The 16,813-nt window shown below is 42.9% G+C and overlaps 1 protein-coding gene across 8 annotated transcripts in view; it reads right to left on the reverse strand.

Moving 5' to 3' along the window:
* Window positions 1–16,813, reverse strand: part of CCDC149 (coiled-coil domain containing 149) — a 176,691-nt gene that overhangs the window by 14,327 nt on the left and 145,551 nt on the right. For 4 of the 8 annotated variants that reach the window (XM_011513908.3, NM_001395273.1, XM_011513907.4 and 1 more), the window contains 4 exons: window positions 13,666–13,810; window positions 4,657–4,733; window positions 3,215–3,247; window positions 2,019–2,135 (listed from right to left, as the gene is read on the reverse strand). In XM_011513908.3, coding sequence (XP_011512210.1) covers window positions 2,019–2,135; window positions 3,215–3,247; window positions 4,657–4,733; window positions 13,666–13,810 — 372 coding nt within the window. The remainder of the gene's footprint in view (window positions 1–2,018; window positions 2,136–3,214; window positions 3,248–4,656; window positions 4,734–13,665; window positions 13,811–16,813) is intronic. The other 4 variants (NM_001130726.5, XM_017008827.3, NM_173463.6 and 1 more) reach the window with 1 other exon arrangement.

Consider the following 16,813-nt stretch of genomic DNA (forward strand, 5'->3'; position numbering starts at 1 on the left):
CTGGTTAGTCCATTTAGCTGAGGGCACAGTTTTTAGGGCAGACAATCATGAGGTTGGAAAGGTAGGCTAGGCCAGGCTGCAGAGTTGAGATGTTAAGTGCAAGACAGTGGAGAGCCACTTTGGATTTTTGAGCATGGCACAAATGTGATGAAACGGTACTCCAAAAACTTTATTCTATGGTAGCAGGATGAAGATGGGAATAAAGCAAGGAGAGTCAAGGAGGATGGAAAACCAGGAGAAGCCCTCCTGACAAAAAAATGAGGGCCTGAACCATGCCAGAAGTGATAGGTCCCAAGGTGTAAAAACTCTGCAGAAAGAGTTGAGTGAAAGGCCACATGTAGATGGAGATGGAAGGTTGACAGTGGTTGATGGCTCCAAGGTTTTGAGCCTGAGAAGCTGAGAGGGTGACAAAAAAAGAAGGAAGAAAGCAGGAAGAGTTGGTGATGTCATGCTTGAGAAGTCCACAGAGTATTCAGGGCAAGGGAAGTTGGGGCTCTGGGAAATGTGGGTGTAACTCTGCAGATGGAACCTTGTGGGGGAAAAACACTTTGAGTGTATTTTTATGGAGGTAATGATTAAAGGCATGAGTCTGAGCAAGAGAAGATGGAAATATGGATGTATATTGTTTATCTATTGCTGTGTAACGAATTACATCAAACCTAGCAGCTTAACTCAGAAGTCTGAAAACAGTTGAGCTGGGTGGTTCTGGCTAACGGTCTCTCATGAGGCGCCCATGAAAAGCTGACCAGGGCTGTTGGCATCTGAAGGCTTGACTAGGGCTGGAGAATCACCTTCCAGGATGGCTCACTCCAGTGGCTGATGGCTGGAGGCCTCAGCTCCACACCACATGAACAGCGTGGATAGCTGCTTGAGCGTCCTCATGATATGGTTGTCAGCTTCCTCCAGAGTAAACAACCCGAGAGAGAGCACAAGGGACAAGTCTCATGTCTTTTATGACCTTGCTGTAGAAGTCACATACCCTCACTTCTGTATTCTACTAATCAAACAGACTGATCCTGATACAACATGGAAGACGGTTACACGGGGGCATGAATACCAAGGGGTAGGGAACATTTGGTGCATTCTCAGAAGCTGGCTGCTACACTAGGGGTGGCAGAACAAGATAAGCAAAACTTCAAAAGACATGAAGTTTGTTGGGAAGACAAGACTCCCACATGGGAAGAGATCAGGTTCTCAAACCTGTTGGCTTATCTGGGTCTCTATATGGGTCTTTGATCCCTTCCAGAACACCCTGCCTCCAGAACTGTCTATCTGGTAAAGCAGGAGCTTTTCTCTCTATTCTACTGCTTCGCAGACTTCCCATATACCAGGCAATGTGCCAAGATTTCCCTGAGGTAGACATGATCATGTCACTGTTTTAAAGGAAAGGAAACTGAGGCTGAAGTCTCCAGCCCAAGTTCTCATAGCCAATGTGATGTGGACCTGGCCACGAACCCAGGTTGTCCAACTCCAGGGTCCTCACTCTTTATTTATTTTTTGAGACGGAGTCTTGCTGTATTCCCCAGGCTGGAGTGTGGTGGCACAATCTTGGCTCACTGCAACCTCTGCCTCCCAGTTCAAGTGATTCTCCTGCCTCAGCCTCCTGAGTAGCTGGGACTACAGGCACGCCCCACCACACCCGGCTAATTTTTGTATTTTTAGTAGAGACGGGTTTTCACCATGTTGGCCAGGCTGGTCTTGAACTCCTGAGCTCAGGTGAAACACCCACATCCACCTCCCAAAGTGCTAGGATTACAGGTGTGAGCCACTGCACCTGGCACAGGGTCCTCACTCTTAACCTCTCTGCCACCATGCCTAGAGAGCAGGGGCCTGCATGCTGCATTTAAAACCTCCCAACAAGATGAACCCACATAAGCAACAAGAGGAAATCTGAGGAATGTCCCAATGATGCCAAAGCAGCAGCACAAAGGGGAAGGGGAAGAGACCGATGTCCATTGAGCCACTCCTCTGTGGCAGGCACAGTCCAGGTAAAGATGGAGAAATCGAGGCGTGCTTACCATCCTTGGGATCTGCTTTGTTCTCAGTGGGCTGCTCGACAAACTTCAGCAGTGGGGATCTCGACCTCTGTCCACTAGGAAGAGTGGGGTCGCTGAACAGTATGGTGTCCTTGCCCCCTGTTGCAGAAAAGAGGAAAATGGATGTCTTATATCATCAGTGGAGTTGGGTTGCATTTAGTCCCACACACTTAATCGGCACAGGGCTGGCTACCCACAGACACTACCATTGAAGGGAAGCCTGCTACGACTGCTGACATGCTCCATACTTCCTTACACTATTGCACCACCCTAGCCCTAACCCTTGCACACACACACACACAAAATCCTTATCACTAATTTAGTATTGAATTATAGGCCATTTTTTTCTTTCCTCTCACTGCTTGATGTATATTCATCTTGCTTCCCTAAGTGGACCGCAGATTCTTGGAGGGGGTGATAAGCATGTCTAGAATGCCTGGTACAGAACTGAATTCACAAAGTCAGTGCTCAAAAGGGTACCAACACATCGATGGGCTGATAACTGAAAGAGACATTGATTCTTCCCAGGTGTTGGTAAATGAGAGAGAGTTGGCAATTCTTTGATGTCACTGGAACTCTGCAACTGGAGAGTTGGCTAAACACTGTGATTTGACTCCTACTTTGGGAAAGAAAGAAGAGGAAGAGGAGGAGGAGGAGGATGAGGAGGAGAAAAATAATGTATTGTGTCTTATTTCACCATTCAGTAGTTTAAATGGAGACACAAAAAACAATGAGCAGACAGAACAGACTGATCTGATTTATACTAGAAGAGGCTCTTTTTCCTTTTACTTTCACCATGGTCTGAAAACATCATAACATGATTCTTCATCATAACATCCTTCATCACTGCAGGAGGTCAGTGCTATTGCCATGACATAAACTGTATCAGATCTGGGGAGCTGCCACTCTTTCCTGTCCTCCCACTTTGTATCTATGTGGAGACCAGAGATAAGAACAAACAGGGCCACAGCATAAAATTCATTCAGCCAGGTCCCCAAAGCTAATGTCATCCTTTAATATTTGTTTTGTACTAATTGAATTCTCTATTTCAATTGACTATTCTAATCAGAGAAGTTCAAGGAAAGGTAGATAATGCATTTCTACTTATTTACATGCAGGGATGACATAATACACTGCTGATATTAGCCACAAAAACGGATATTTTAAACAGAACATACTCCCAAATCCTACTGAAACATTGTAGCTCAGGCCTTCAGGCAGCAAAAAGAAAAAAAGGAAATAATTGTTATTGCATAATAGCCATTTGAAGTTGCACCTAGACCAAACAAAACCATAGAAAATTCTCGGCATTTGTTCACTCGAGTAACTTCCATCTTTTAATATAAACTGTAGAAATGAAACAGGGAGAAATTTCACCAACTCATTTGAGAAAAAAAAAAATAAAAACCCCCGTTCATGCATGGAAATGGCAATCTCACTGTACAAATACACGATCAATTTGCCGAACTGTGTTGAAATTCAATGCAATAAAAGAAAGGCCTTCCTAGAAGATGAGGTTTTAACAGCATCAAAAGATTCTTGTGCAGACATGGATCATTCAAATCCCCAGGACTGTACCTGGCAGTTATTAGTTCTGTCAGGTCTTTTGACAACAAGTTCAAGGAATCACTGCTAAAAATTCCAATTTATGAAACACACATCCAGGCAACCTAAGGCAGCGATTCAAGTTTACATTTCAGAAAATGTGTTGTTGTCCACCTGCCTCACTGTGCTGACTTTTACTTATCGTCCATTCCAGGGAAGCATCCATATGATTCAAGGATGAAGGAGACTGGTTTGTGCAGTAAATAAAACTATAGGTACAACATGGTTTCCAGGGAAAGGGGAGATGGTGGAAATGGTAAATACAAGTTTCTGAAGAGTAAAAAGTCAATGGGGAATGGCTGGCTGGGGTATCACAAAAGGAGTATTTTACCAAGACAAGTGGGGTAAATACAGCTAATTAAAGTAGAATACCAGAGCTTCCAAACACAGTGTACAACTGGAAAAAAAATCACAGGAAATTCAGATTCTCAGGCTAAGTAAAAACGGGATGGGGGAAGGGAAGAGAAGGAGGTGGTGGAGTACATTTTGGGTTAGAACAATTGTTGGTTTTTATCTTTATTTTTAGTACTGGTGATTAAATTGGACAAATCTTTGTATGTTCTTAGATTCAATTTTAGGACTGGTGATTAAATTGCACAAATCTTTATTAAGTTCTCATATTAACTTTTAGGGCTGATAATGAAATTGAACAAATTGAATGGATCTTTATAGGATATCTACAGATTAAAAGAAAAGAAACAATTCACTACATTCACAAAAGTTAAAAAAAAATACAGACACAGTGACAATTTCAGAATTCAGGTTTGCTAAACTTCATAGTTCCACAGATGAAACCCTGAATATTTACTGCATTTTTCTGATTCTACCCCCACCCTGCCATGTAGTTTCTAAATTTAGAACACTTGTAGATTTTTTCAGCAATGATCTACTTTAAATAAGGTAGAATAAAAGGACATTAAAGAGGTAGAAGACTCTTGTAAATTACGTGGGAGCTTCATTTCTTAAAAAAAAGAAAAAAAAAAAAGGAAAATTGTTTTCATGAGGTTCTGTTTACCTGGAAGACTCCACAAACCAGAAACTTCCAGAGTTCTTAATTTTTTTTCCAGCTCAGCCACCCGATTCCCTAGGATTCTGAAAAAAGGGGAGAAAATGACAATCAATTACTGAGCATCCTGTCAGCCCCCAGCCCTGGGAATCCCACTGGTGCCCTAGTAGAAAAGTGTTGAGATTTATGATATATGCAAAAAATGGAGTATTTGTATGTATGTGTGTGTAAATAATATGTGCTCTATTGAAAGTGCATATACAAATAGAAAGTACAGTGAATGATTAAAAACAATACTAAAATGCCATGAAAGTGAGTCCTCTCCCAAAAGGTAGTTTTCCTGGGAAGCTAAATGATGACTCCACCGCTGCCCAAATCATTTGATGGAATTTCTATTTGAGAAATGCTCACTGCAAAGATGACAATAAATTTTGAATACCCTTAATAATATCACATCTTGATTCTTGGAGGGTGGATCTGATTTTTGGAAATAACCAGGTCTAAAAAATAAGATGGATGGACATGCTTGGTAATGTTGTTTTAAGTCAATACATAATACCATCAGCCTTCTTAGACCCATGTCTTACTGATGTCCACATTCTTGATATTTAGCACAATGCCTGATACATGGGAAGTATTTGATAAATATATTTGATTAAATAAATGCCTTTCTTTTTTCATGACTCATAATTAGCTATGGGAAGAATGAAAAGAGATATTTCAAAAGAGTTTTCAGTAATTGCAGAATCATTAGAATAATTACATTGTTCTCCAAGGTGACCATTCTGAGTCACTAAGATATACAAGTTCTAGAAAGTGTGTATTTGAAAAGACCATACTGTTTACTTGGAAGCCAAACTTTCACTACATGCATGGATAGACATGTGGGCATACATACTCCCACATCACTCTATAAAATAATATAGTTGGGAAATAATTTAATAGTCCTCTAAAACTTGAATCACTTTCCATTGGGCTGGAAATTGAAAAACCAGTCTTTATTTTATTTGGGGGATTTTCTTGGCACTGCTGTGCTAAAATTATGTGGAAATCACCTTAATAGCAAAGTTTCAATTCCTTTCAGCAAGATAAATCAGAACACTAGAATTATTCTCCTATCTCTCTTTATATTCCAGAGATAGCTACACACACCCACATACACACAGAGGCATGAATATGTATATTTCTACACATATATATGGCTGTGGATTTATCCTTGTTTTACCTGAATTGACTTGTACCATCTTAATTAATATTCCCTTTGAGTTCACAGAAAACTCTGGAATTACTCTATGTGGTTTTCTTCCATCTAGGTACTTAGAGCTTTTCTTTTCTTCTTTTCCCTAAGTCTTAAAATTATGCAGTCTTTATCAATTACTTTCCATTTTCATTCCATTTGTTGGGTCTCTTTTGCTTTCATGTCCCTGACCCTTCAATAGACACTATCCTTTGTAATCTCGCTTTCCATATTTTGCTCAGACCTTCTGATCCAAGCTCCCTTTTCACCAGCTGATGAGTTTGAGATGCAATCACAACTGTTCAAGTTGATGCCTGTTTCTTAACGAGATCAGATCATCTGTAGGTGGCTGCTTCTTGGAAACAAAAGATAAGGCTTAACTCTTCCGTGGAGGTGGAGGGATGCCGTCTGAGCAGCATTCGAAGGTGTGCTGAAGAGATATTGGGTTATATTTTTTCTGATGTTTCGGGATAACACAGCCATCTCTCTCAGAAATGGAACGAAGTGAATTTCCTGGTGTCCCCAGCAATCTACTTTCAGGGCCCCTGCCTAAGTTTGTCAGTGCTTTCTTCTCTGACTTGACACTTATCAGCATCTGATGCAGGGCTGGAGGTAGTAAAATGGACTCAGTAGAAGTTATGACAGTAGAAATAATAACAATAGTACCACCAACAACAATAGCAACTGCATTACTGTTAACACAAACAGTCAACTAATCTTTCCGGAGTCCGTAATACACATCAGAGGCCATGCTGAACACTCGCCTCATTTGTGTTATCTCATCTAACTTGGCAAAAACCCTGTGGTGTACATGGTATTGTTATCCTCCTTTTACATGTGGACTGTAAGAAACAGAGAGGTTAAGCAACTTGCCCAAGCATGCACAGTTTATCTCAAAGTTCTGTCTTTCCCCAGCCCCCAGCAATCTCATCCACCATACTCCCCTCTTCCCATTAGGAAGCTGAGGAACAGAAGTTAGTTAACTTGACCAAAACCATAGGCAAGACTCAGCTGGTGGTGAGGCTGTATCGGAATGTAAGCCTGGACTTGCTTCTGAAGCACATGCTCTTAACCAATACCCCATAATGGCACTTTAAAACCAACCTTGTCACATTCTTTCTCATGTCTGCCTGAAGTGCTCCTTAAAAACTGTTCATGTTGAAACATGGATGTGCCCGCAGTTGCTTTGCAAAATACAAGCCACAATGCTTCAAATGGCAAAGAGGATCTCTGTTAGCTTCACACTGAAAGAACGTGGCAGGGAGCCCACTGAACCTGGTATGACGCAGCCCAGGGAGAGAAGAGGGGCTATTTACATTTTAGCAGCCAGCAGCACGGATAGGTGGAGAGAAGAGCAGGAGCCGAGTCCGTTAAATTTAGTTTGACCAATTCAACAAACAGTTCCTGAGATCCAGCTCTGTAAAGCACTATGCTACAGGCTGCAGGGGATAATGAGGAGAAGGAGACCCTGTCCCTGCATTTGAGAGACTAAACGTCTGGTGGGAGACAGACCGATGCATACACACAAAAACATACATGGACGGTGCAGTGGAAGGCTTTAATAACAGCTGGCATTTATTAATCACTTGCTCTATACTAGGCATGCACAGATGCTCCCTTGGTGTCCTGCAACAACTGATGCGTCAGCTCTTGTTAGCCTTATTTTGTAGGTGAGAAAACTGAGACTCAGAAAGGTCACTTAACTCACCCAGGCTTACACAGCTGGCGAGCAGAGGGGCCAGGCAAAAACACAGGCTTGAAAATACAGGCCGGGCATGGGGGTTCACGCCTGTAATCCCAGCACTTTGGGAGGACGAGGCAGGCGGATCACGAGGTCAGGAGATCGAGACCATCCTGGCTAACATGGTGAAACCCCGTCTCTACTAAAAATACAAAAAATTAGCTGGGTGTGGTGGCAGGCGCCTGTAGTCCCAGCTACTCGGGAGGCTGAGGCAGGAGAATGGCGTGAACCCAGGAGGCAGAGCTTGTAGTGAGCCGAGATAGCGCCACTGCACTCCGACCTGGGCGACAGAGCAAGACTCCGTCTCAAAAAAAAAAAAACACACACATGCTTATTAAAACTGTAGAGCAGAAATGAAGAGCTAAGTGGAAGACGAATCTACAGAGACCAGTAGGAACCCAGACCATGAATGACCTACCTGCCATATTGAGAACATTCAGACTTTTCTGTATTGGCAATGGGGAAAGAGTGAAGAGGTTTTTTGTTGTTGTTTTGTTTTGTTTTTTAAGAGACGTAGTCTTACTCTGTTGCTCAGGCTGGAGTGCAGTGGCATGATCTCAGCTCACGGCAACCTCTGCCTCCTGGGTTCAAGCAATTCTCCTGCCTCAGCCTCCCGAGTAGCTGGGACTACAGGTGTCTGCTGCCACGCCTGGCTAATTTTTTTTTTTGTATTTTAGTAGAGACGGGGTTTCACCATGTTGCCCAGGCTGGTTCTAACTCCTGAGCTCAGGCAACCTGCCCACCTCAGCATCCCAAAGTGCTAGGATTACAGGTGTGAGCCACCGTGCCCAGCCCAGTGAAGGGTTTTAAGCAAGGAAGCAGGATGAGGAAGTTTAGGCAAAGTATTCTTCATGCCTAGTTGAGAATGGAGTGGAAGGAGTGTGAGTAGAAGCAGAAAGATCAGTTAGAAGGGCATCGTCCAGGTGGCGTTGATATGGTCCAAACCAAGCCAGTGGGGATGCAGGGGTGCTACAGGAATGGGGCAATGAGGAGGGAGATGAGCTTGAGATGCCTGTGGGAGATCTGTGCAGACACAACGGATGCAGGAAGAAAGGCAAAGATCTGAGAGTGCAGGCTGGGGGAGCAGAGCCAGCAGCTCACCACCAGAGGATGCGAAGTCAGAAGGAACCGTGGAAGAGGCAGAGGAGAGCCAGGACAATGTGCCACCTTGGAAGCCAAGTTGAGAGGGGTGCAGATGAGAAGGGGTTGGTCAATATTGTCTTATTCTAGAAAGTGGTCACACAGGATGGGAGTTGAGAAGAGGCAACTTAGAAGATGTGCCTGACCCTTGAAGGAAGGATGTTTCAGGACAGTAGAGGGGATGAAATTCAGAGTCCAAGGGACTGGGCTGAGACAGAAGCAGACTCTGGGAGAAGTGAATATAGCCGGCTCTTCAAGTAGCTTAGCAGGGAAGAGAAGGAGATAAACAGCAGTAGCTCGAGGCAAACTCAAACTTGAGAGAGGTTTGGGGTTTTTTTGTTTTTTGTTTTTGCAGGATGAGGGAGATTTTAAAGTTTTAAAGTTTTTATTTAGTTATGGGTTGCTTTGGGGGAGATTTCAGCATGTATCTACCTAGTAGTCTAGGAAAATCTCTCAGGATGCCCAGTCTCCAGATGGCTTCCCTGCAGTGGTTTTAGATAGTAATGACATCATCAAAGGAGTCTGTGATGAGGAGTCTGTGAAGACAGAACTCACACAGGAACTGCACTACCGTGCTCGCTCTCTGGACAACACAGACAGCAGGAATACCAGAGTGAAGGTCTTTAAGGAAAGCCTGGCTCTAAAGGGGAAGCAGGTAACTGTGTCTCTACATGCCTGAAGACGCCCCTGCTTGCTTCTACCCCAGGTGGCCTCCTTTCACGTCTCTGCTCTGATCCATACACCCTCTTGCTGCTGCTCCCCAAGATGCTGAATTTCCAAGCTCATTTACCATTGGCCAGGGAAAGAGAAGAGGAAACGGTTTCAGGCATAGCAGGAAGGATAGCAAAAGGCCAATATGTCCTCATATATTCACCACCACCTCCCCGCCATGGTAAGGCATGGGCCTGGGGGGAAGGTCTGGAGAACGAAATGTGGTGCACAGTGAAATGGCCCTTGAACAACCACCTCGTCCACGAATGCTTTGCCACCCGGTTTGAAAGATAAATGAACCTCATATCCGTTCTTTCTCGATCACCAGGCAACTGCCAACTTGCTGGCAAGAAGTAGCTCAAGCAAATTGCCTATTAATTGAATGTTGCTCAAGATGTAAAGTCCTAGGTTTCTTCATCAATTCTTCGAGATGGCTTCCGTTGGAGCCTCTCAAGGGTGGTAACTGTCAGGCAGTGGAAAACCAGCATAGGAGCATACGCTGCCAGGAAGGAACACCTTTACTGCTATGTATAACGCTCCAGCAAAATAAAGCCATTTCTTTTCTTTTTAAAATTAATTAATTATTATTTTTTTCTAAGATTGCAATTGGGTCATGCACACAGAGACCAGGGTAGTTTCCAGTGCATTCCAAAAGCTATTTTATTATTTCAGTTACACAAGGCTAAATCAAGGGGGAGAACACACATAGACCAAAGTCACATTCTATTCTCAGCCCTCATTCCATTTGTAGTATAATTAGTTTCTTTACATGCCCCCAAATAAAACATTTATTAAAAGTATGAAACAGAGGACCCCCTAAGTATTAAAGATGGCACATTAGGCAACTTATGTACTGATGCGAAGCAATCTCCAAGATCCATTATTACAGGGGGAAAAATCAAGATGCAGAATAATGAAAAAAGAAACCTTTTTAAAAAATGAATACCAGTTACCGTTTGTAAAAAAAAAAAAAAGACAGTATATCTATGTAAATATATGAGTATGTGTATATACATAAATATATTGTGCATTTGCTTATACTGTCTATGCATCCTTTGGAAGGATATATAAGAAATGAGGAATGGACGTTTCTTCCAGGAAGGGGATTAAGGTAGCTGGGAGTAGTTTGGAAAGACATTGTTATTTAACCTTAAATTAATATTAAATTAAAACCACAGAGGCCAGGCATGGTGGCTCATGCCTGTAATCTCAGCACTTTGGGAGGTCGAGGTGGGCGGATGACTTCAGGTCAAGAGTTTGAGACCAGCCTGGGCAATATGGTAAAACCCTATCTCTACTAAAAAAATACAAAAAATTAGTCAGGCGTGGTGGCATGCACCTGTGGTCCCAGCTACAAGGGAGGCTGAGGCACATGAATCACTTGAACCCGGGAGGTGGAGGTTGTAGTGATCCAAGACTGTGCCACTGCACTCCAGCCTGGGAGACATAGCAAGACCCCGTCAAAACAAACAAACAAACAAAAAACCCAGAGGATGGCTCAAAAATTATTAAAAAATAAACATGAAAAAGTACATAGAAACAAAAATAAACATGGTCAAATGAAAATGTCAGTCTTTCACAATGGAGGGAGGGAGTGCTGTGAACCTGGGGCATGGGTGTGTTTGCAGTGGGTATGGTTAGGAACACATTAGTGAATCAATCTGTCAGAGGAGGCTGGGATCCTCTGCAGAGGCATGTCAGGCCGACAGCCTGTGGATGCTGTCTTTGGCAGGCAATGGGGACTCAGTCTGCTTTGCAGAGAAGGCTAGTGTCATGCTCAGAACTGTAGCTGGCAGGTGGGTTAGGCGGGGGAGGTAGGACTGGGGTCTGAGGATGGAGCTGTGGGACGGTCTCCCCAAGGAAGAAGTGATGGTCAAAGGGCATAACCATTTTTGAAACATACTAGGATGGATGTTGACTGATGGAATTTGAGGAGCTGAAAGGATATCTGGAGAAACCATCAACCAGAAGTTGGAAATGTGGGTCTTGGTCTTGCTCTTGATGGGGTGGTGGGTACAAGAGATCTGAGAAGAGTCTGCAGAGAATGAGAAGCAAAGACAGAGACAGGGAATGAGGTCTCCCAGGTAGGGGAAAAAGCACAGAAGATGGAGAAAAAAGATGGAGTGGGTCTGGGGTGGGGGTCAGGGGAGAGGTGGGAAAAGGAAATGAGACAGTGGAGAAGGCTGGAGTTTCCCCCTTGAAATCCATCTTACTTGGATTTCAAGATGAAAATCTCAATGTGAAGAAATTAAAGAAGGAAGAGACTCAAAGGTGGAGTTTGGGGATACTGGTGACCTGCAAAGAAAGAATACCGTGGGAAATGTAGGAAGAGGTCTTGGGAGGCATTAAAGCCAAGGTTATCTTTCTTTCCTGTGCATGGACTCACCCGGGACTTACTGAAATCCAGAATCCTAACCTTCCCTCCCACAAATCTTTGATTCTGCATTTATAAACAAGTGTCCCCACCCCCCAGCCGCTGCACCCAAGCAATTCCAACATAAGTGACCTCCCGGAATACATTTAGACAGGGTGGCTGTTGAGGAAGGAGAGGAGGCCTTCTTCAAAAACATTCCAGGCTGGGTGGTATTTTTGGGAAGGCAGCAGGGTTTAGGAAAGGCTTTGGGAGTTCAGGGCAAAGAGGCAAAAGCCAGAAGAAGGGAGGAGGTTGAAGAGGGTGAGACAGGAGGTCCCAGGGGAGCAGAGGCCCAGAAGAGGAAAGATCCCATGGACCAACAAGATGGCAGCTGGTGTACTTCCTGGAGACAGGAGTGAGCAGAACATGGGGAGACTGGTTTCAGGGCAGCCGCAAGTTGAGAGGCTCATGGTGAGAAGCCCCACTTTCTCAGTGAATGAGGAACTGTGGTGACCTGCTGAGAATGGACCAGGGTTTAGAAGATGTGAGAAGGCTTGAAAGATGAGGTGTTCTGTAGAGAGGGAAGGACGAAGCCAGCTCATGGAGGACATTTCGTGCTGCAGGGGATGCCCATTCCTTCTTCCTCCCCTGAGAAGCAACTGCATTTCAGCATCTGACTTTTCATTCCTTGGTTAAGATTTCACTTTTCAAGAACATTTAAACCTTCTCCTGTCAATAAATTACCCGTGTCATCCCTTCGAGATTGCCCTGCTTCCCTTTGCTGCTCTCCGCTTTCTTCCACATACATCTTCATCTCTGGTGCAATCTTCCCTTCACTCCAGCTTCTCTTTTTCTATTTTGTTTTTATAATACTTTCAATCATTTTCCACTTGCCTCTCTCCCATGCCCCTGCGTTCGTCAGGCCCCGGATTCTCTGGTCCCTCCCTTTGTCACTTGAAGCCTAGCTTTCCAGGCCCCGCTCAGTTCTCTCACACTTGCATTTTGGTTCCAGGTGTACGTCTGTCTTGCAAGCAGGACCAGCTACATAAATTGCAGGGTCCAGTGCAAAATAAAAATGTGGGACCCTCTTGTTAAAACAATGACTAAGAATTCCAAGATGGTGACAGTGGAAGATCAGACCTAATGTGGGGTCCTTCTGAGCACAGGTTGCATGCCCACAAAGCCAACCCCATGTGTAGTATTTGCTACTTTAATTTATTGTTTATTCACCATTCTCTGAACACTCTTGATATTACCTCTGTCATCTCTAATGGCTACGTTAACCTGCTTGGTTTTACACAACATAGTCAACATGCTATAAAAACCAGATAAGACATTCCATTTTAATTACCCTTCCTTTTCACCATCTTTTTTGTGGATCTGGAAGAGTGACATGAGATTCTTTTCTAGGCCCCGCAGCCTGTGGAAGTTGATGCTTGGGTGATTTCTGCCATTAAAAGACCCTCAAAGTCATGCTGGGAGTTTTAAATGGCACTGAGGCAGTTTCTCCCCTAAAAGAAGAGCTGGAGGAGAGGTGGGTCAAGTCACCCAGGCGATTATTTTATGGAACTCATCCATGAAATACATACTACTCAGTGTGTAGCTCAGAGTAAGCATTCAGTATGGCTGGTACCCTTTCCTTGCTTGGCTCCAGCTGATAGCCAAGATGCTGATATAAAGCAGAAGCACCATTCTAGTTTAATAAGTTTCCTTCTTGATTTGAGGGGTCTCACCTTCCCTGCAGGTCCGTCGTTCCAGCTGGTTGACATTCACTTCTGGTAGCCTCGTCCCACTTCCTTCGCGCCCACCCCCCAACACAAGAGTTTGGCCACCTACTTGTTGGTTTGCCTCTGGTGCTGAATGACCATGTTTTTCTCGTGGATTGTTTCCAACAGGGCTGTTGCCAGAGATTTCAGGTCAGAAATGGACTGCGGAGTAGCTGGGAGGCTGCATCCATGATCCTCAGATAGCAGATCCTGAACTAGATAGGATACAAAATGTATAACTCAGTCGTCATTCTTCTGAAACGCTGGAATGCAAACCAATGTCAATCCTTCTTGGATAATGATATGTCCCCAGCTTCAAAATGCTACTATGTTGTATTGAGAGTCCACCTCAAGTGTCAACAAAACAAAGTAAAATCCAGTGTGAGAACTAAACAGAAAGGAGGAAGTTCTCAGGACTTTCATCAGCAATTTTTAAGAAGATAATAATATTTGCATTTGTCTACTATTTTAAACACTTTCATAATGACTAACGCATAAAGTCTTAAAATTGAGGGAAAAGAAACTCTATGAAATATTGATTTTTTTCCATTTCATGGACAAAGCAAGGCACAGATGGGTTAAGAACATTGGCTGAAGGTCACACAGCCATGCAAATGACAATCACTCCTAGCTCCAAGCACCTTGCTTTACGTCAGTTTCCCACTGTGTGATACCCCTGGCAGGTGGTAAGATAATTTAGGAGATTATTTAAAGTGCAAAATATATTTTGTATTTTAGTAGCTATGCATTTGTTTGAAGGTATTATAGAAAAGGTTATGTATGGCATAACAAAACCAATGATTTCACAGGTGCTACCACTTAGGATAAGGTCAAGTAAAATGAGTCACTTTAAAATCGACTTAAAGAAAAACATTAAGCAAACAATAGCAAGGTGGCACAAAGATAGGGCAAAAAGGTATAGAGCAGACTGCAAATATCTAAATATTGGGAAAGAGTACATTATGCAAAAACTAGCTGTTCTTGGATATTTGTTACTCCACAAACTGCCAAATCCCATTCACGGCCAAGTTCAAAATGAAAGCCAAACAACACACACAGTTCCATGTCATTGAAGGACTGAGACCCATATGAGAGAGACCTGCCCCTTGTGCATATATCCTGCCCTGGATGAGTCTTTAACAAGTCTCTAGTCATCTATGGATGGCTCTGATAGAAAATTATTTTTTTTTCTGGTTTCCAAAGTGTACACTTTCAAAAAATTCCTAATTTGTCTGCATGTCACTTACAAATATATAAAGGAATATTACAGTGTGGTATACTAGCTTAGCATATAGTAGGACTATCATCTCCTTTATCCCAAATTCCATACTTCTGCAAATAGATTGTAAGATTTCCTTAGCTTCTTTGGCAATAAAACACTATTAATGAATAATATGACAATACTATCTATTAAAACATCTGTGACTTTTTCACATGTGATGCTGTTACAACTATGTTTTCCCAGTTATGCTTGGCTGGGCTTGAAATGGCTTAAATTGCTCTCAGAAGCCATCAGCCCCATCCACAGCATGGCCCCATTCTACATCTGCAACTTCTGCTGCTTCTCCCGCCGTCTTTTTCTACCCTAGGGTCACTCAGGTGCTCCTGCGTATGTGTCCTTTCTGACACCGAGTGGCTGTTCTTCAAGTCTGCTTTGGGTTTTTTAAAAGCACTCTTCAAAGGAAGATAAACTAAGAGTTAAATAAAAGGACAACAACCACTGATATTCCTACCAGACATTAAAAAAAAAAGGAAACAGTATAAATCTCACAATTTTATTTTATTTTCAAAAATGAAAAAAAAAACCCGGCTTTTTTCACTTAACAATATTATTCATCATTAATATCCCTTAAAACATAAAATTGGATGGCTGCTTTGTAGTCTGTGTATAGATACAGAATTATTTGGCCAGGTGTGGTGGCTCATGCCTATAATCCTAGTACTCTGGGAAGCCAAGGCGGGCAGATCACCTGAGGTCAGGAGTTTGAGCTCAGCCTGGCCAACACAGTGGAACCCCGTCTCTACTAACAACACAAAAATTAGCTGGGCATGGTAGCACACGCCTGTAGTCCCAGCTACTCAGGAAGCTGAGGCAGGAGAATCGCTTGAATCTGGGAGGCAGGGGTTGCAGTGAACCACGATCACGCCACTGCACTCCAGCCTGGGCAACAGAGTGAGACTGTCTCAAAAAAAAAGATATAGAATTATTTAACACTGCTGGACATTTACTGTGTTTTCATGTAGAATTATTTAACTACTGCTGGACATTTATTGTGTTTTCAATATTTTTTATTATAAGTAATGTATGAAGAACTGTTTTGTAGCAAAATGTTTGCATATGTCTGTAATTGTTTTTTGTTGGTTCAAAGGGGGCCAGTTTAAGGCTTTTCATAGCAGGTTGTCAGAGAGTCATAGATTTTGTTTACTAATACCAACAGATTGTTGATAGAATGCTTTTCATCATAGGTTTTCTAGAAAGGCTGTGCCAGATTTATGGTTCTGCCACAGTGTTTGAGTGTGGCTGGCATTCCCCACATCAGTGATAACACTGGGTATCAACATTCAAAGATGGTTTGCTATATATGGTATCCAGAGCTAAACTTAGATGGGCTACTTCACATTTTTATAGAGTATTGTAGTTTTCTTTTGAAAAACAATTCTAGGGTGTTCTTTTCTGGTTGAGTGGAAAAAAGAAGTTGCTTGGAAAAGAGCCTTGGTTGTTATGTAGGCTGGAGACTCAGCACTTTTTTTTTAAGCCACTGTAGTGCTGATTAAGACTGCCATATGATAGTTGCTGGTCTGCACTATCAACAACCAAAAAGTGGGCCAGCTGAGCATATTCGACTCGAGACTTATGTTTAGCATTGAATTCTGAATATTAAGTGTCAGAAGCCAGCGTGCTGCTATTTATTCCCCTGGACTGTTCCTGGAAGATCATTATTTTTCATTGGAATCGACAAGAAGGAGGAAAAAAATTGCAATCAATAAAAGCTTCTTCGAAAAAGGCACATGTTATGTGAGAAAATGATTTCAGCAGCTAGGAGACTTTTCTGATCGTAGAGGCCGGGAAAAGAAGAAATTCAAGGAGGTCAAAACGCACCCTTGGAGATGCTGAATTGGTGATTAGGAAACGGGGAACATTCTGGAAAGGAGAACACAGTCTAGGGGAATATGCCCAAATGGGGTCTAGTGATTAGAAAAACCTCGAATGCAGTGCT

Source organism: Homo sapiens, chromosome 4 (genome assembly GCF_000001405.40).
Source record: "Homo sapiens chromosome 4, GRCh38.p14 Primary Assembly".
NCBI lineage: Eukaryota > Metazoa > Chordata > Mammalia > Primates > Hominidae > Homo > Homo sapiens.